This window comes from Homo sapiens, chromosome 12 (genome assembly GCF_000001405.40).
Source record: "Homo sapiens chromosome 12, GRCh38.p14 Primary Assembly".
NCBI classification, from domain to species: Eukaryota; Metazoa; Chordata; class Mammalia; order Primates; family Hominidae; genus Homo; species Homo sapiens.
The window spans coordinates 85,054,319-85,076,055 of NC_000012.12; the positions used below are offsets into that span (position 1 = coordinate 85,054,319).

Below are 21,737 nucleotides of genomic sequence, written 5' to 3' on the forward strand. Positions count from 1 at the left end.
AAGCATCCAGAGGCAAAAAGACACACCACCTAAAAAGGAGCACAGTAAAACTAACAGCTTACATTCCCCAGAGGTCTGAAATATTGCTAGCATCTGTCTAAGTGTGTTGTGTATGTGTGCATGCAATGTTCGGTCTTTCTCCCATGGCTTTTTGTTGTTGTTTTTAAGAAAACGTATTTTTCTATTATTTTCTTCCCTTCAGTTTTTCTCAGTTCTTTATTCAGGAACTCCTACTAGTCATATGTTGGAGTTTCTGTGTTAATCTTCTTTACCTCCGACATATAATTTTTATCTTTGTTATTATTTGTTGTTTGGGGAAAACATCTCATTTTGAAGTTTTTTTTTAAGTAATCAGCTATCCAGCCATTCTATTTTGATTATTGGTTTAAGTGAGTCGTTTTTATTTGAACACTTGAAATATGAGGTTATTCCTGTTTAAATATTTTTTCTAAAATATCTTTATTTAAATTTTTATCTAGTTTATTTAATAGTTTGATTTTCTCAGAAATTGGTTCTTCCTTCTGCTGATTAAAATATAGTCTCATATCCTTTTTGTTAGTTTCCGTTAGATATTTGCTCAATTTTGTTGATCTTCTTACTTTTGGTTTAGGACTCTAGTAAAAATAATATTTTCTCACCTAACTCTAAATATTTCATTAAATGCAGTAGTATGTGGTTATCAACTATTTTGATCATTGAGAAGGGATAAGATATGTGAGTAGGCTGGTTCTGTATATTGTTTGTATGTAGGGACTATCTGGCTTTCTTGGTACCATAAGTTTCACAAAATAATTCCTGTTTTTGCAGTCTCAATACTAGCTCTGAGTCTTCTTTATCAGAACTCTCATTCCAGAAAGTTTGAAGTCCTTTTCTTTTACGTGGTTTTTAGCCTGTGGTTTCCCTTTTGTTGTTGTTGTTGTTTGCTTGCTTATTCTGTGTCTTTCTGATTTTATATGCTTTCTATCTTCAAGGAAATCTTCAATTCATATCTGGGTGGCTTAGAATACATGTAACATTAGAGTATCAACTTAACATGATTCAATCTCCTAAATATTAAAAAAGTAATACCCTTTAAGATAAATGACTTTAGTTTCTCTAAATAAATTTTATAGAAACTTTATTAAGACTTCAGTTTTAGTATTTGTTTTCAATCTACATTTCAGATGACATTTTAGTAACATCTCATGTTTAGTTTATGCTGACTACCATGTATCTTACTTTGTTTTAGGAGTATATTAGAAACTTGCATTTACAAATGGAAGAAGAAAGAACAAGATTTAAAGACCAACAAGAAAAAGAAAAAAATTCTTTGTTAAAACAGCAGAATAATGCAGCTGTTAAAATTCAAGCTAAATATAAAGCATTTGTTGCCTATCAAAAATATGGCCCAATTATTAAAGAGCAAATTGAAAGTAAGAAAAGGAAAGCACAAGAGTGGAAGGAAAAGGAAGCAAAAATACGACAAAAGGAGGAAGAAAATCGAAAAAGATTAGAGGAGGAACAAAGGATAAAAGAAGAGAGAAAAAAGCAAAAGGAAGAGGAAAGGAAAAGGAGAGAAAAAGAATATGAAGAAAAAAAGAATATTGTGAAACAGGAAAGAGAGCAACTAATAAGCAAGGAAAAAATAATATTAAGAGAAGATGCAAGCCAACAGCTAATAATAAGTAGTGCATTAAAGAAGAGCGGATATAATAACAAACATTTAAGTCTTGAAGATATTTCAAATGATAAGGGTGATATAGCCAAAAATCTAGTGGATGAAAATTCAAAGAAGCAGGAAGATGTTCTCCTTTGGCTAGTTGAGGAATCAAATATGAAAGAAAATGTAGATAGACAGACTATATTAAAAGAATCAATACAAGTAAAGTTAAAAGAATCTATATCAAGCCAAACAATTCTGGCAGATTTTAAAATGGAAGAAAAAAATGAAAACCTAGCAAAAAAACGATGTTCAGAAGAATTGGTCAAGCAAGAAAGAAAATATGAAAATACAGATAACAAAACTGAATTGGGAAACTCTGATCTAAAAGGAAATCTGAAAGAACAGTTTCCATTGCAAGAATTAAAGTCTGATGCACAAAAAGAAGAAAAAATCATGAAACATGTCATAAATGAGAATACAGGACAAAAAACCCAGATAATATTAGGACATAACCAAGAAATCAGTGAGGTGAAAACCAATGAAGAGCAGAAAATAATCAAAGATAATCAGCAGAAAAAGATACAAAAAGTAGAAAAAGAAGAGATACAAGAACAGAATGGATTATTATATAAAGATAAGGATACTTTAGTTATTTCAGTGAAACAAAGATCACTCTCACTAACATCAGAAAATTCCAAAGATGTAAGAGAAAACGTAATATTACAAGAAAAAGAAATTTATTCAAAATCCAAAGAAATTGAGGAGAACCCAAAAGACAATGCTTGGAATAGTGGCATTGTGATTTTTAACACAACTGATACCATGATAAATATAGAAGGCAAAAGAAATGACCAAGATTATGTGTTAGGTAGACATGCTCCTTGTGAGGGCTTGAGTAACTATAATGCAGAAAGCTCCATGGTATCTAAAGAAGTCAACTCTCTTAAATCTGAGATTAGAAATATTTCAGAAAAATGCCATGAAAATGCACCTGAACCTGATAGCATGACCTGCTGTGTATCAGAGTCAACCCTTCTATATTCTATTGAAGAAAGGAGACTAGCCTGGATAAAATCATTTAAACCTTGGCTTGAAATTTTCAAGCAAAATCAACAAAAGAAAATTGTTAGAAGAAAGAGACCTGTGAAATGCCCAGCCAACATGACACCCGCTTTGGATAAACTGGAAATTCTTCGATGTGGCCCTTGGGATACTTTACAGCAGGTATTTCTAATTTTATAATAATTTTTCACATTTAATTACAATTAGCTCTTTAAAGTATAACTTTTCAGATCTTAGAAAAAGAAATATTTTGTATACAAGAATTGTCTCTTGTTTAATAAAGTTATGAATGAAATATTACCCCATTTGGGAGGGGATATATCTCAACAAATTGTTCGAGGCATCTTCCCTAAGTGACACTCTATAAAAAGCTTTGATTTATATTTTTTAATATCTTGAAGCCTGTGTTCAAGGGCCCTCCAGTCATTATTTAAACCTCTAAGAATGGAAGCATATAGAAAGTTAGGGTTAGAATTATAGTAGGAAACTCCTAAGTAAACAGAAGTTTGCTTTAGACTTGAGCCACCACACCACCTAGTGGCTGCTTTTGGAATAAAGTGGATTTTATGTCCATGACCACTGTTGTGAAAGAAGGGCTTGCATGATAGAAGACCCTGAAGACCCTAGAATTCCCATCTAGCAACAATTATTTAGCGTGTGCTATTTAAAGGTGGTGCATATATGTCTGAAATGTAAAATAGTTGTCATCAAATGTTACTAATTTTATATGGTTATGGAGAACATAGTTTCAACCAAAATTAAGACACAGAAACTAATAAACGTATAGAAAAAGAGAAAATAATATTTTAAACAGTGTAACACTAGAAAGCACTTATGATTAAAATACATATATTTAGCTAAGGCCTGAAAGTCAAAAGTATTCAATAAAGTTTATTTAGTTTCTTGATAGACTTTCTTGCTAGACAGATGCCTAGGAGAAAGAACAATCATATTAATAGATAAACATTATTTTGTTTATTCACTCAGCAAATATTCATCTATCCAATAAGATGATCAATATTTATTGGTTGACTAATAAACAAAGAAAACCCAGTCTTTTACGGAGCTTAAACACACATAAATACGTTATTATGGATCTTGAGAATTGCTGTAAATAAGGCTTCAGAGTATCCTGTGAGAGAATAATAAAATAGTGGGATTTTGAAGATATTTCTGGTATATGAAATAGCAATATAAGAGATGAGAACTGGGACATACACTTTTAAGTGTCTTTTATTTCCTGGGTAATGTATTTGCCACATCTGTCAGGTCTGCAGAGCTACATATAGAATCTCTCATCTGCTCTTCTCCAATTTTTTCCTTGCGCATGTTATCTCTGGAATCATGTTTTAGCACTTTTCTTTCTCTAACATATTGCTGCAGGCCTTCCAATATGATAACATTAGCAATTATTTAGTTTTCCTCATGAGTATCTGTTAAAGCTAGGCAAGAGTGATGGCTTCATGCCTACAGTGTACTTGCTTCAAAAGTGAAAATGAAGTTACAGAAACAGTAGTGTTCCTCCCTTGCTTTGTAGGTCTCTGTTCTGTCCAATGAGAAGGAAGTTAAGATGTGTGAGCCTCTTTCTCCTTGGCATTTCTTCTCCAGCTGACTCTCTGTTCCTTCTTTCGAACGTTTGTCAATTTACATAAAATGATAATTAACTCTTTCTTTTACTTCTTAGAGCAAGGCCTGGCAAACTATTAAAATCTATAGAATACCTGAAGCTTTGTAGAAATGTGGATTCTGATTCAATAGGTCTGGTGATCCACCCATTCTCCATTCTTGCAATGATTCTAAATGATGATGTTGGTGCTGGTGAGTGGACTAATCTGAGTAGCAGTGTTCTAAAGGGCACCATAATCCTCTCATCCCTTCTTAAAGCAACTATCTCAAGCTTTTAATTTAGCTTTGAAGCATCAAATAGGCAGTATAAAGATGAAAAATACATGTGAATGTGCCATATAGATGCTAAAATGTTAAGAAAATATCATCTTTTGTTACCAGACAACTCCTGTAAAGATTCTGTTTGGTAGATGGCTTACCATGGTGTCTTTATTCACCACTGTTACTACTGATCCATGGCTCAGTTTCTTTTTGACTTTCTGATCTTTTAGCTTCAGATCTTTATCCTTATCCTGATCACTCACTGCCATCCTTGGGATGTCCTTCTGGAGATCAACTTAGAAAAGTTTATTGTCTCCCAGTAATGCATTCATTTTGCTTACATTAATCTCTTACTTTGAGACTTCAAGACATAAATCGGATCTTCGTGTTGTTCATACTTCTTTACACATTGCCAGGCAAATAAAGATACTCCTCAAGTTACAATGAAGTTACATCCAGATAAACCTACATAGCTTACAACTGGGCAAAATCATCTGGCAACGTGGTACACTGTAGAGTATTTGTTGTTTACCCTCATGATCATGTGACTGACTGGGAGATGCAGCTCCCTGCCGTTGCCTGACATTGTGAGAAATGATCATACTTTATATTGCTAGCTTGGGAAAAGATCAAAATTCAAAATTTGAAGTATGGTTTCAACTAAATGTCTATTGATCTCACACCATCATAAAATTTAAAAAAAATTCTACGCTAAACTATCTCTTGTCAGGAACTATCTGTAATGACTTTCATTACCTGATTATAGGATGGATGAGTGGGGGGATGAATCAATTGATGAATAAAGAATTCCAGTCGAAATATTTAATGTAGAGGACGGGTTGATGGGTGCAGCAAACCACCATGGCACGTGGCACGTGTATACCTATATAACAAAACCGCATGTTCTGCACATGTATCCCATGTATACATGTAACCTAAAGTATAATTAAAAAAAAGAACTGCAATTGAATGTTAATCTTATCTCCTCATTACTACCAGTTTCACAGTTTAGATAAAGTATATTGACTGAAGAGGAAATGAATGTAAAATTACTGAAGTGTAGCTTATTAGACTACTAAGTTCTATGTTAAGACTGTTTCTAATTTTATTTCTGCCACTTATGGCTGTGACACCTTATGCAAATGCTTGACCTGTATGAGCCTCAGTTTTGTCTTTCACAAACTGGAACAGCAATATCTATTATATAGGATCACTGAGTTTTAAAATGCTGTATGTAAAGAACATGGCCCAGGGCTTCTAATACCACTTGTCAAATGTGGGTCTCAAGCAAGCAAAGAGAAGGCAAATGGATTGTTTTCGAGGGCTGCTTAATAGCCCGTTTCATCAAAAAAGTTATAAAGTTGAAAATACTAGACCATTGGGTTATATGCAGTAATATCTCAAAAGAGAAGACTAAAGAGCAATAATTATGGGTAATGAATATATTTTTATTTTTTATTTTTAAATGTTTTAACTATTTTTTATTTTTGGCATTTTGCTACTAATGGTAACTTGTATTAAGTAATAACCACCACAAAAAAGGGCACTGAGCTTAAGGATTTTTAAATATTTCTTTATACCATAACGTGAATAATAATATTTTAGCTGCTTATTAACTTTTAGATCAAGAAGTCTCACTTCTCTTATACAAAGTAAATTGTAATGAACTGCTATTGGAATAATAGGTGACATACCTGAAATTGTTTTGTAGCTGTTTTATTCAAACCACTAATCAAACCTTGGACTCAGTCCCTTTGCAGCTGATTTTTAAAACAATATTATTTTTCCCTGCCAAATAGATTTGAGATTGGACCACTGAATAAATGTTCTGAAAAAGTAAAAAAAAAATAAAATAGACTTGTTGCTTGCATTACTTTTGTAATTACGTTTACCATAGATGACTGACACTTCTTAGGTTGAACTCAAGAATAATTGAGAATAAAATCTCTAAATGTATGTTGCTGAGTTAGGGAATTTTATCTACAATGGGCTGTAAAGGATTTGGGAAAATACAGATGATTAAGTAGAAAATTGATTTGGAATCTGTTATTAAAATATAATGAGAGTTTCATAGCTTCTATAGGTGGAATAGTTCATTCTCAAGTCATGAGAGTCTGAAAGTATAACTTTTTCAAATGTTTTTACATAATTCTTTATAAGAAAAAGGAAGTAAAGTATGAGAGCTATAAATATAGTTGAGTTTTGCCACAGGCTAGGGAAGTTCATTCATTTATTTATTTTAAGAAACATTTACCCAACACCCATTATGCTCCAATTGCTGTTTTTCTAGTTGACCATACAGTAATGAACACATACGATTACTAATTCTATATTGACCTTAATTTCGAAGCATAAAGTGGTTTTATGTATGTGGCTCCTGTCATACATGTATCCATAATTAATACAAAAATTTATTTTGATCTCATGTATTTGGAAAAATCTGTGGTCGAGTAGGGGACTATATTGCTATACTATAAAGATTTTTTTTAAATGTTCAATGAAAAGAGCTTCAATTAAAGGAGGAAATAGGAAGCTCCTCATATTCAAAAGTAAATACCACTAACAAGGATACTGTAGCAGTTACTTCTGTACTATAATAAGATTAAAGGACAGAAATTGCCACATCATAAATAACTAGAACTTAATTGTGCTTGTATAGTTGATTGAAAGCAACATGTTACTAAATCACACTGAATAATATAAATTATAATGTTGAGTAGCATTTGTTACTATACAGCTGTAATTGTTGAATTTTCAATTCTTGAGTGCTCAATTCTAAATAATGTTTTCATTTTTAGTGTAGAGCCAGTTTTCCAATTACAGAATGTATATCTGTTTGTTACAGATTAACTAGGCAGTATATAGAAGTTATCTCCCTACAAATTGATGAGTATATTTTCTTTCTGAAAAAATTATTAAAAATAAATTTGTTTCAAAATTGCTTTAGATTATGAATAGTTGAGACATTCTTAAAATGATTTTGAAACTAGAAGTCTTATTTATCTGAAGTTTTAATTATTGCTTTTGGTACTTAAAATGGAGTGGTCTAATTCCTTTCTTTATATCACCATGAACACATGGTCCTTCAATTTACTTACATAAATATGTAAATTTAAAACTTTTAGTTCAATTTAATGCACAGGAAATGTTCCGTACAAAGAGGAGTTACTGCATTCTAAAATTTTGTACTTTTTCAGTGTTTTTTGAAATAATAGTGCTTCCAATTTTAATATAATGTTTTTATAATTTTAAGTATGGTATACACAAGAATATTCCTATCAAGCTAATGATTTTTAACTTTTACTTTAAGTTCAAGGGTACAAATGCAGCTTTGTTATAAAGGTATATTGCATGATGCTGAAGTTTGGAGCATGATTGAACCTGTCACCCAGGTAGTGAGCATAGTACCCAGTAGGTAGTTTTTCGACTCTTGTCCCCTTCCTTTCACCACTTCGTGTTTTCCCCAGTGTCTGTTGTTCCTATTTTTATGTCCTTGTTTACCCAATTTTTAGTTCCCACTTATAAATGAGAATATGTGGTATTTGGTTTTCTGTTTCTGTGTTAGTTGGCTTGGGATAGTGGTTTCCACTTGCAACCATGTTGCTGCGAAAGGCATGATTTCATTTTTTATGGCTATATGTTATTCCAGGCTATATATGTACTACTTTTTTTTTTTTAATCTAATCCACTGTTGATGAGCATCTGGGTTGATTCCATGTCTTTGGTATTGTGAATGGTGCTGCGATGAACATACCGATATATGTGTCTTTTTGGTAGAATGGTTTATTTTTCTTTTGATATATATCCAGTAATGGGATAGGTGGGTTGAATGGTGGTTCAACTCTTAGTTCTTTGAAAAATCTCCAAACCGCTTTCCACAGTGGCTTAACTAATTTATATCTCTACCAACAATGAACAGGTGTTCCCTTTTCTCTGTAACCTCACCAACATCTATTATTTTTTGACTTTTTAGCAAAAGCCATTCTAATTGGTGTGAGATGGTATCTCATTGTGGTTTTTATTTGCATTTCTCTGATGAGTAGTGGTGTTGAGCATTTTTTCTTATGTTTGTTGGCCACGTGTATGTCTTCTTTCAAAACATCTCTGTTCATGTTCTTTGCCCACTTCTTCATGGGGTTATTTGCTTTTTACTTGCTGATTTAAGTTCCTTGTAGATGCTGCATATTATATGTTTGTCCGGTGCATAGTCTACAGATTTTTTTTCCCATTCTGTAGGTTGTCTGTTTACTCTTTTAATAGTTTCTCTAGCCGTGCAGAAGCTCTCTAGTTTAATTAGGCCCCACTTGTCAATTTTTTTTTTTTGTTGCAATTGCTTTTGAGGACTTAGCCATACATTATTTGCCAAAGGTGACATAAAGAAGGGTATTTCCCATAAAAATTAATTTAAGATAGATGAAAGACTTAAATAGAAGACCTCAAACTATGAAAATCCTACAAAAGCTAATGATTTTATTTAATCTAATTTTTAACTTTTGTGGGTACATAGTAGGTATATATATATTTATGGGACACATGATATATTTTGATTCAGGCATACAATGCATAATAATCACATTATAGTAGATGGGGTATCCATTATCTCAAGTATTTACCCTTTCTTTGTGTTACAAATAATCCAGTTATACTCTTAGTCATTTTAAAATGTACAATAAATTATTATTGACTTTAGTCACCCTATTGTGCTATCAAATACTAGATCATATTCATTTATCTTATTATATTTTGTACCCATTCATCATCTCCACTTCCCTCAACCCCACCCCACTACCATTCCAGCCTCTGGTAACCATCATTTGACTTTCTAATCCTATGAGTTCAATTGTTTTATTTTTAGTTCCCACAAATAAGCGAGGATATGCAAAGTTTGTCTATCTGTACTGGTTTATTTCACTTAATGACTTCCAATTTTATCTATATTGTTGCAAATGGCAGGATCTCATTGTTTTTGATGGCTGAATAGTGCTCCATGGTGTATATGTACCACTTTTTCTCTATTCATTTCTCTGTTGATGAACACTTAGGTTGCTTCTAAATCTTGACTGTTGTGCAGAGTACTGCCGTAAAAATGAGGGTACAGATAACTCTTCATTATACTGATTTCATTTCTTTCGGCTATATACCTAGCAGCAGTATTGCTGGAACATATGGTAGCTCAGTTGTTTGAGGAATCTCCAAACTGTTCTCCACGGTGGCTGTACTAATTCACATTCCCACCAACAGTGTAAGAGGTTCCCTTTTCTCCACATCCTCTCCAGCATTTGCCTGACTTTTGCACATAAGCCATTTTAACTGGGGTGAGTTGATATCTCATTGTCGTTTTGATTTACATTTATCTGATGATCAGTGATAATAAGCATCTTTTCAGATGACTGTTTGCCATTTATATATTTTCTTGAGAAATATCTATTCAGATCTTTTGCCCATTTTAGATTGGATTATGAGACTTTTTCCTATTGAGTTGTTTGAGCTTCTTATATATTCCGGTTACTAATCCCTTGTCAGATGGATAGTTTGCAAGTATTATTCCCTTTCTGTGGACTGTCTCTCCACTTTGTTGATTGTTTCCTTTGCTGTACAGAAGCTTTTTAACTTGATGTAATTCCATTTGTCCATTTTTGCCTTGGTTGCCTGTGTTTGTAGGGTATTACTCAAGAAATATTTGCCCAGTCCTGTGTCCTGGAGAGTTTCCCCAATTAAAAAAATATATTATCAGTTTCATAGTTTGGGGTCTTAGATTTAAGTATGTTTAATCTATTTTAATTTGATTTTTGTGTGTGGTAAGAGATGGGGGTCTAGTTTCATTTTTCTGCATATGGATATCCAGTGTTTTCCAGCACCATTATTGAAGAGGCTGGCCTTTCTCCAATGTATGTTCTTGGCACCTTTGTCGAAAATGAGTTAACTGTAGATGTATGAATTTGTTTTTGCGTTCTCTGTGCTGTTTCATTGGTCTGTGTGTCTGTTTTTATGCCAGTACCATGCTGTTTTGATTACTACAGCTGTGTAGTATAATTTGAAGTCCATACCACTTTAAAAATCAAAAATTGTTGAAAACTCAGGGAGTGAGCTAATACATGATTATGTTGTTGCTTTTATGTATCTTACCTTTGGACTTGAATTTGTCATAGATGATTGCAATATTTTGTCCTTGTATGTGGGGAACAAAAGAGGCCAGATAGCTTAACAAATTGAGTTGTTAATAAATGTAGGCTTCAACATATAGTATTACTTTTCTTAAATGAATTTTCTAAACAGTTTTGTAAGGCTAATATTGTTTATATTCAGTTTTGTTAAATAACACTACACACTCCAATTTTCTTGGTTCCTCTAGGTTACAACAGTTACATTTCAAGATTTGCCAGGCTGTGTTCTCTCCACACTGGCAGAGTGTACAAATCTTCAGTTTCTATCCCTTCGACGCTGTGGATTAACTTCTTTGCACAGCCTGAGTAATTGTAAAAAACTTAAGTACATTGATGCACAGGTATGCTCTCTGCCCTACTGTTATTTATTTTATAATAAAATATAAAATGGATTTATGTTTACATTTCAGAAATGACCCTTTTGAAGAAACAATTACTAAACTAACCTGTAACTCAGAGCCTGAAGAGATCAGGTGGTATGGTAAAGTTTTGAGAAGCAGAGAGGGAAGTTTATTGGATGATACAACCTAAAATGACCTATCTCTTTTTGTAGCTAATATGGTTATTGTTTTCATTACTTTTGCTGCACAACAAATGATTATATTACTTAGTAGTTTAAACCAACAACCATCCTATTTGTTCATGGGTCTGTGGGCCATTAATTTGACTAAACTTGGCTGGGCATTTTTTCTGATTTCTATTATATTTACTGGGTCTCTTATGTAACTGCAGTGAGATGGAAGCTAGAGCTAGAATGTCCTAAATCACTTACCTTATATGTCTGCTGCCTTGGCAGGATTGTCCGGAAGATGGGAATCTCTCTAGTTATCTGGGGCTTCTTTCCAGGGTGCTTATAGGGTATTACTCAAGAGCAGGATCTGAAGAGTGAGTGTTCCTAAAAGACATGCTGCAGTATGCAAGTGCTTATAAAACATCTGCTTACATCATGTTGGCTAATGTTTTATTGGCTAAGCCCTGAGGTCATGTGGAAGGGGACCATATGGATATGCGAATATTGGTTTCTGATGTGTACTGGGAGCTACCAAGGTAACAGTCTATTAAAATCTATCCTCTGGCTTATAATGATTCACATCTTTCCCACATGCAAAATACATTCATATCCCAAATACACCAAAGTATCATTAACTTAAGGCATCAGGCTCAAGCTCAAAGCACAGGCTTTTCTCATCTAAATCAGATCCAGGTGGAGATGAGGCTCACCAGGTCCAGTTCCTTGGATGCATCCACTGAGGTGAAGCCCTCTCAACTCAGATATCTGCAATCTAAAATTAAAAATTATCTACTGCCACCCCACATACAATGGTGAGACAGGGCCTGATTAACAACAATAGCCGTTCTCATTCAAGATGAGAGAGACAAGAATGACAATATATTAACTTTTTAAAATTTATATTGTTTAAAATACTTGTTATCCTCTGTATTTTCTGTATTTTAAAACAATAATATTTAATATATTAAAAATTAATTATTTATTAGTTTACCTAATATTTTCATCCAAATAGTATAACAGTTTGCAGGGTTATCTTAGAAGTTAAAGATTCAGATATTAATTTGGAGATCCTATCTCATCTTTCTTTCCTCTTTTTGAAAGCTTTAAATAGTTCATTAATAAGCCATTGAAATAAAACTAATTACATTTGTTCTTTGCTTCAGGAAAACCATATTGAGGCTATTGAGTGTGAAAATTTGGAAAATCTCTGTGTTGTTCTTCTTAATAAAAATCAACTGACTTCTCTTCATGGTTTGGATGGCTGTACTAATATTCAGTGTCTTGAACTTTCATATAATAAAATTACTCGAATTGGTAAGAACAATGAAATTTTAATATTTAAAGATATATTTCTCATAATTTATTGTGTTTTATTTATTCCTTTTTAGGAGTAGGCCACCATCACAAATCTGCATATTTTATTTATGTTATACTTTTAAAATTTAGATTAAAAAAATAAAATTACTTTTAATGTCTATAAAAGGAATATGCTCTCCCACCACTGGCAACTCTGTAGTTCTTAGCAGTTAGTATATTTACTTCTCTGTTTCTTTTCCTACAACCAATAGTAATTTGAGCTCTATGGGAATATAACAACTTGATATTGTGCCATGATATTTTTATGGATCATCTGCTTCCCAAATGCCTCAGCAATTGTTGTAACTATTTGCTGGTAAACCTTTTTCATCACCACTCTCATTAGCTACATACATCACTTGGACTTATCTTTCCTTCTTTAGATAAAGTTGCTAAAACCACATGAAAGATTCATCAGGCTGCATCTCCCTAAACTTCTCAGTCCCTCCAGAGCTATATCTACATGTAACTATATTGACTTCCTTCCTTATATCTTATAATTTGTATAGGTAGCAATGAAAATCTCTTTTCTTACTTAAGGACCAGTCCTTTTATTTTTTGTTTTAGCAATTTTTTTGTGGACCCAACTTTTATCTTTTATTTTTTATTTATTTATTTATATTTTTGATATGGTCTTGCTATGTTGCCCAGGCTTGTCTCGAACTCCTGGACTCAACAGATTTGCCCACCTCAGTTTCCCGAGTACTGAGACTACAGACATGTACCACTACAGTCAACCAGTCCTATTTTCTATAAATATTCCCATCAGCCCGTCAGGACCTTACTCCATTATTTTACATCAGCCTTCTGTCAAAGTGTTTCTATTGCTGTGTCCTTTCTCTCACATTTCTAAATGAAATTAAAACAAAAGAGAAAATGAAAAAAAAGAAAACCTTTCCTCTTACCTCACATTGAGTTCTGTCATTGCCTCCCATCTCTTCTTCCCCTTTATTGTCAAGTTTCGGGAAAGAAAGAATGTTTTGTGTTTGCTTTTACCTCTTATCACCCAACTTCCCTCTTCTACCCACTGAAATGCGACTCAGGTTACTTCTGCATTATTGCCAGCGTGATGATGCTGAAATAAAAATTGTATTATTCACCTCCTGGCTTGATTTCTTCTATTGTTTTTTATTATTTAATTCATGATGAAATTCTCAAGGGCCTTGGTAGAGGCTTAATAATGGTTAATGAACAATCGAGTATCGCCAAAAAGTTGGGAACTGGATTAAAATTTTACTTTGATATGGGACAGATGGCTGAAATACTGGGCTCCCAGAGGATACCATACTGTCCACCTTTTCAGTCCTATAATCATTGGAAAGTTTAATCTAGACTGAAATATCAGAGTAGAAAGGGTGTAGATAGAGGAATAGAAATAAGCTTAATTTCTGTGTCTAGTCCTGGTTATACTATTAGTTTTGCTTGTTTGTGTATATTTTGTTTTTTCTTCTTTTATTGTGGAAAATTTCAAACATTTATAAATGTACAATAATACATAGAAATTCCATATAACCATTAGTTATATTAAACATTTGCTTCATCTTTACTTTTTTGGGGTTTTGATTTCATTTTTTTCTTTCATAAAGGAGATCCCCAGACCATGTAATTCCATTCCTTCATACTTCAGGAGACAGTTTTGAATAATATGGCCGTCTCTTACTTAACCCCATTGCATTATAACACCTAATGGAATTAATAATGAATCCTTGTATCAACTGATAGCACGTAATCAAATTTTTCTGATTTTCTAAGTGTCTGGGTTTATTGGAATCATAACATCAATGAGTATATATTACATTTATCTAGGTCTTTGAAGTCCCTTTAAATCTGCAGCAGTCCTCACGGCTTTTTTTTTTTCCCATTCCGTTGATTTGTTGCAGAACCTGTGTGAATTGTCTTACAGAATGTCCTGCCTCAGGCTTTGTCCATTTACTTTTTTTAGTTTCAATGAAATTGTTTCATTAAGCCCTGTATTTTCTTATTTATTTATTTATTTATTTAATTTTATTATTATTATACTTTAAGTTTTAGGGTACATGTGCACAACGTGCAGGTTTGTTACATATGTATACATGTGCCATGTTGGTGTGCTGCACCCATTAACTCGTCATTTAGCATTAGGTATACCTCCTAATGCTATCCCTCCCCCCTCCCCCCACCTCACAACAGTCCCCGGTATGTGATGTTCCCCACCCTGTGTCCATGTGTTCTCATTGTTCAATTCCCACCTGTGAGTGAGAACATGCGGTGTTTGGTTTTTCGTCCTTGTGATAGTTTGCTGAGAATGATGGTTTCCAGTTTCATCCATGTCCCCACAAAGGACATGAACCCATCATTTTTTATGGCTGCATAGTATTCCATGGTGTATATGTGCCACATTTTCTTAATCCAGTCTATCGTTGTTGTACATTTAGGTTGGTTCCAAGTCTTTGCTATTGTGAATAGTGCCGCAATAAACATACATGTGCATGTGTCTTTATAACAGCATGATTTATAATCCTTTGGGTATATTCCTAGTAATGGGATGGCTGGGTCAAACGGTATTTCTAGTTCTAGATCCCTGAGGAATCGCCACGCTGACTTCCACAATGGTTGAACTAGTTTACAGTCCCACCAACAGTGTAAAAGTGTTCCTATTTCTCCACATCCTCTCCAGCACTTGTTGTTTCCTGACTTTTTAATGATTGCCATTCTAACTGGTGTGAGATGGTATCTCATTGTGATTTTGATTTGCATTTCTCTGATGGCCAGTGATGATGAACATTTTTTCATGTGTTTTTTGGCTGCATAAATGTCTTCTTTTGACAAGTGTCTTCATATCCTTCGCCTACTTTTTGATGGGGTTGTTTGTTTTTTTCTTGTGAGTTTGTTGGAGTTCATTGTAGATTCTGGATATTAGCCCTTTGTCAGATGAGTAGGTTGCAAACATTTTCTCCCATTCTGTAGGTTGCCTGTTCACTCTGATGGTAGTTTCTTTTGCTGTGCAGAAGCTCTTTAGTTTAATTAGATCCCATTTGTCAATTTTGGCTTTTGTTGCCATTGCTTTTGGTGTTTTAGACATGAAGTCCTTGCCCATGCCTATGTCCTGAATGGTATTGCCTAGGTTTTCTTCAAGATGGATTAAAGACTTAAATGTTAGACCTAAAACCATAAGCTCTGTATTTTCTATAAATTGAAGTTAGTTAAAAACGGTTTGATTAAGTTAAAAAGTAAGCTGCTTTGGCGGGAATTCTTCATAGGTGGTGTTCTGTGCTTTATATTTGATTGCATCCGCAGTCATACAGTATTTGACGATTTACTTTTAGTGATGCTACACTTGAGTGTTTGGTGTAGCTGATGATAGCCTAAACGCTCCATTATAAAGCTCGCCATCAACCTTTCATCTAATGTTCATCCGTTAATTAATATGACCTGGATCAATTAATGCAGCAGAGGATGTGATTTGTGAATTTTCTATTTGATCATTTCTTCCACAGCCTTTAAGCTGGAATTCTTTAATCAATTAGAACTATTTTGTTATCCTGAAATGGTTTGTAGCAGAATGACAGGGCTAAATGCTTACTATTGTATGGAGAAATTCTTAAAGTCTTAGTGACTCTAGTTACTTTCAGTGGTGCCAACTTGTTTTTTGTTTGTTTGTTTAGTTTGTTTTACTACTTGTTCTACCTTTCTCTCTCTCTCTCAATATTCTTATGAAAATATACATTTTTACAGCTCAGAATATTTCAGTCAGTTGCTCTGTTATTCGTTTTGATACTCTAATTGTTTTGTATTGTGAACTTGAATTGAGGATAGCAAATATGCTTTAGACTTATAGCTGTATTCATTTTTTCTTCCACTATATTCCTTGGTTTATGGCAACATTAATATAACCACGTGCCATATCTTATCCATAAAATAGCTTCAAAACAACAATGCCACTATTACTATTTATAATATAGCTTACTAATTTTAAGATTTATTTACATTTTTTGTCCTTGCACTATCCCAAACAGATATGATTAAAATAGTATGTTATAAAATCATTTGAAATAGTTTATCTTTGGGATTAGATTATAAATTGATAATTTAGTTTGCTAAATTAATTTGATAAATTAATTCACTTTTCCCATTTGATTGTGTTTAACTTTTATATGTAACACAGATTCATGATTCCAAGATGAAAACTACATTAAAAAAGCATACTCAAGATATTGTGCATTAGTCCATCCTTTTCACTCTTCTCTCGCATTTACTCTTATATGTGGAATTTTTGTATAATATGTACATATATAATACGTAAAACATATATATGTGTGCATCTATATATATGCACGTATCTAAGGAAATACATGTTATGTATGCTAATCCTCTCACAAAATGTAGCATATTTTAAGTACTGTTCTTTGTCTTGCTTTTTTTACTTAACAACATATTATGGAACTTATAATTATTTTTCCATAGCTACTTAATATTCTATTGTGTGAAATGAGCAGAGTTTTCCTATTTTTGCCTTGCTGATGGATATTGAATGGTTTCCAATCTTCCATATTACCATAATGAATATGACACCTATTTAATTTCATATTTGATCAGATATATCTTCAGGTTAATTTCCTGCAATTTGTATCAATGGGTCAAAAGATACCTATAATTAGGAAGATAGTGTCAGACTCCCTTTATATATATTGTGCCTATTCTCATGCTGCTGATAAAGACATAGCCGAGAATGGGTGATTTATAAAGGAAAGAGGTTTAATAGACTCACAGTTCCACACGGCTGGGGCCTCAAAATCATGGAGGAAGACAATGCAAGAGCAAAGGGATGTCTTACATGGTGGCAGGCCAAAGGGCTTGTGCAGGGGAACTCCCATTTTTAAAACCATCAGATCTTGTGAGACTTATTCACTACCACAAAAACAGTATGGAGGAAACTTCTCCCATGATTCAGTTATCTCCACCTGGCCTGCCCTTGACGTGTGGGGATTATTACAATTCAAGGTGAGATATGGGTGGGGACACAACCAAACCATATCATTGCCATTTAGTACTTTTACCACAAATGCATGGTAATACTAGTTTCTTGGCTTTTTCTTTTCTGTTTATTATGCTGTTCTTTTCTATTTTGAGTTAAATATTTCATACAATTATTTTTAAATTTTTTCAATCGTATTGACATACTTAAATCTATAGATTTTCCTCTGAGCAATGCTTATTCTGTAACTTGTGACATGTAGATATTTTCATCATTTTCATAATTTTAGGGTTTTTAAAAATGTTTTACCTTAGATTTAAAATTTCCATATAGAAAGGTCATTTTTTTTGGTGATTCTTTTCAGTTTTATTGCTTTATAGCCAGAGAATAATTTTTATGCTATTTCTGTTTTTGGAACTTATTTTGGCTGTCTTGCTAATCTAATATGTGGTCAATTTTCATGAATGTTTTAGGTGTACTTGAAAAGGAGGCAGGGTTTTTTATTATTGGGATAAAGAGTTTATTTTGCATGTGTAAGATCTACCTTACTGATAATTTTTTTAAAGGTGATCTGTTTGCTTGATTTACTTTGGACTGAGGAAGTTGCCTGTGAATTTGCTTGTTATTGATTTGTCGTTAATCAGCCTTTTTTTTTTTGGTAAATCCTTTGGTTTCTGTTTTGTGAATGTTACTGCCGTGCAATTTTATAAATGTCTTATCTTTTTCGTAAATTTTAGCTTTGACTATTATGTTTTTTTCATTCTCTCTTTAATGCCTTTGAAACTAAATTCTACCTTGTCCGATATGGTTTATTTTTATTTTTGTTTGCCTACCTGGCCATCTTTTTTATTTTTAACCTTTTGAATCAAGTTTAGACATTTATTTTTATACAGTATAGATTTAGGTTTTATTTTTTGCTCCAGGTTTAAATTTTTTTCTCATATAAGCTATAACCACTTGCATTTATTAATTCGTCTTATATATTTGGTCTTAATTCTGTCATCCTACTCAGGATATTCCTTCTTTCTGGAAGAAAAACTTGTTGACAATGCAGGGTTCTGCCATCACTTGGGCACCTCCACTTCTTACTTATCCCTGGCACAAGTCTGGATTCCAACTGGATTATGTTGGTCCTGGATACCTATTACCTCACTTACAAAAAATTCAGATTGTAATTTCCTTATCTCCCACTTATACTGGAATTGTAAGTTGTGTTTATTTTTTATTTTGTTACTCTTTATGGATTTCTAGAGGAGGTATGGGGAGGGTTGGATCTAGGCAGTCACCATCATCTCCTTTATTTTTTTAAATATAGGTAAAATATAGCTGTTTTCACAAAATAAGCTTTATTTTGCAAACATTTCAAGGCATACTTTTGAAAATATAACATATAACATGCTTTAATGTGTTTATTTGCCTGCGTTCTTGTGCTGCCTGCTTTGGATTACTATGACTTCTTCCATATGGAAATGCTGATAGTTTTGACACAAATATTTTTACTTTAAAATTTTAGTTTAAAATAATTTTGTTGTTGTTGGAGTGAAGGCAAGTGCATTGATAATGTATGTTACTATATTGGCACACACTGAAGCAAACTTTAAAAAGAAAAGAAAGGCTGTTTGTAAAAAAAGAAATGCTTGAATTCCCGTTTACTTCATTTTCATTGCCAGCAGTGCTGTACGAATTTTTTTGGTAAGTAGTGGATTTCCTGGCATAGGATATCAGCAAGATTTATGTGAAAACTGCCATAGTATTAATTGATAAACCTGAGATATCTCTGTGCATGCAGTACAGAGCAAACAAGGTAAAAGACTTCTTTGGTGTCTGTTGGGTACAATGAAAACACTGTATTTATTGAGTGTGAGAATAGTATACATGAGAAAGTAGATTTTCTGAAGAGCAGTTGGAGTCTGTTTTTCATCTTCAGGAAATGCTTAGAGATTCTGGTTGAGCTAAGTGAAAAGCATAGATTTTGTCTTTCAGTGATATATTGATGCTAAGAACTCTTATGAAGGGAGACAAAGATAGATTTGTGTTTGTAAGTTAGTGAGTTACTATTCCATGCTATAATATTTCTTAAGGAGGTGAAATAAAATTGGAAGCAATACCACAATATTTCACATTGGTAGTTTCAAGTTTAATTTGTTTCTAATTCTTACTGTGCTATAGTTATCACAGTAGTTAATATGTAATGTTAACTGTATTCTTTTTATTAGAAAATATTAATGTACATATTTATTTGGTTGATACTATTTGCATTTAAGTGAATGAGAATAGTGAATGTATCAATCTTTTTAAGGCAATTTATTTGAAATTAGTTATGAATGTTTTCCATTCTAATTAAACTATGCAATTGTAAAAACAAAAATATAACGTGAAATATTCATACCAGTTTTATTTTATTTTTTAATTTTTATTTTTGTGGGTACATGGTAGGTGTATATATTTATGGGATAATGTGATGTTTTGACATAGGCATGCAATGTGAAATAATCATATCATGGAAAATGGGGTATCTATCCCCTCAAAGATTTATCCTTTGTTTCTACAAACAAATTACAATCTTTTAGTTATATTAAAATGTAAAATTAAGTTATTATTAACTATCATGCTGTTGTGCTATCAGATAGTAGGTCTTATTCATTCATTCTGTTTTTTTTATATATATATACATTAAGCAAGCATCCCCAACTCCTCCCAGCCCCTTACTAACTTTCCCAGCTTCTGGTAACATCCTTCTACTCTCTATTTTATGACCAATTTTAAATAAGAAAATCTTTCATGTTGTCCTTTGTTTGAAATTTCCCATAAGTAAATTTAAGGCAAAATTGGTAAAACTGTGTTTTCTATATGAGATGTGGCAAAAAATATATTGAATGAATGTTGCCACATGATTGTTAAAGTTTATAAAATGGTTCATGGAAAACCTTTAGTCCTTTGAGTCAGTATTTTTCAGTTAGTTTTTAAAGTAAGAATAGCCAAAGCAAATGAAAAATGGGATTTATAACTTAAAATCTAGTTGTCTTTATTTCTCTTATTTTATGTTGAATTTCATTGACTTTCTAGCAGAAAATTTTGAAACTAAATTAATTTTGAATAAATCCATATTTGAAAAAAGTTATTTTTTACATTTTATTTACATAAAAATACAATTAAGTGTTATACAGTAATAGATAGCTTTCTTACCAATAGGTATTTAAGTGCTTTATACAAATTAACTCATTTGCTTTTCACATCACTGGCATGAGTTAGGTACTATTAAATATTTTCGGCTGGGCACAGTGGCTCACGCTTATAATCCTAGCACTTTGGGAGGCTGAAGAGGGAGGATCACTTAAGGCCAGGAGTTCAAGACCAAACTGGGCAACATAGTGGGGCCCTGCCTCTACAATTTTTTTTTATTAGCTAGGTGTATTAGGCCATTTATGCCTTCCTATAAAGAAATACCCAAGACTAGGTAAAAGAAAAGAGGTTTAATTGGCTCATGGTTCTGCAGGCTTTACAGGAAGCATGGTACTGACATCTGCTTGGCTTCTAGAGAGGCCTCAGGAAACTTACAATCATGGCAGGAGGCGAAGCTGGCGCAGGCAAGTTGCAAGCAAAAGCAGGAGCAAGGGAGACAGAATGTGGTGGTGGTGGGGATATTGCCATACACTTTTAAATAACCAGATCTTGTGAGAACTCTATCTCCAAGACAGCACCAAGCCCTGATGGATCCCCCCTACCCCAATCATGATCCAAACACCTCCCAGCAGGCCCCACCTCCAGCATTGAGGATTAGAATTCCACATGAGATCTGGACAGGGACAAATATCCAAACTGTATCACTGAGTATGGTGGCATGCTCCTGCATTCCCAGCTACTCGGGAGGCTGAGTTGAGAGGAACTCATGAGACTGCAGTGAACTGTGATCATGCCACTGCACTCCAGGCTGGGTGATAAAGAGAAACCTTGTCTCAAAAACAAAAAAAAAAATTCTGACCCCACCAGATAAGAAAACTGAGACACAAAGAAGTAAAGTAGATTATCTAAAATTACACAGCTAGTAAATGATAGAGACAGGATTTGAAACTCAGCAGTCTATCTCTAGTGCCTAATTTTTAAATTACCTTATTCTTCTATTCTTCTACTTTTTAAATAAATATACATTTCATAATTAAG

General features: G+C 33.1%; 1 protein-coding gene across 22 annotated transcripts in view; it reads left to right on the plus strand.

Annotated features, from left to right (window-relative positions):
• Nucleotides 1-21,737, plus strand: part of LRRIQ1 (leucine rich repeats and IQ motif containing 1) — a 236,455-nt gene that overhangs the window by 17,968 nt on the left and 196,750 nt on the right. For 13 of the 22 annotated variants that reach the window (XR_944764.3, XR_944765.3, XM_011538819.4 and 10 more), the window contains exons 8-11: nucleotides 1,229-2,866; nucleotides 10,944-11,096; nucleotides 12,430-12,580; nucleotides 18,589-18,780. Coding sequence is in view for 18 of the 22 variants with exons in the window: in XM_011538819.4 (XP_011537121.1) it covers nucleotides 1,229-2,866; nucleotides 10,944-11,096; nucleotides 12,430-12,580; nucleotides 18,589-18,780 (2,134 nt within the window). In the remaining 4 variants the exon portion in view is untranslated. The remainder of the gene's footprint in view (nucleotides 1-1,228; nucleotides 2,867-10,943; nucleotides 11,097-12,429; nucleotides 12,581-18,588; nucleotides 18,781-21,737) is intronic. The other 9 variants (XR_944766.3, XR_001748890.2, XM_047429651.1 and 6 more) reach the window with 2 other exon arrangements.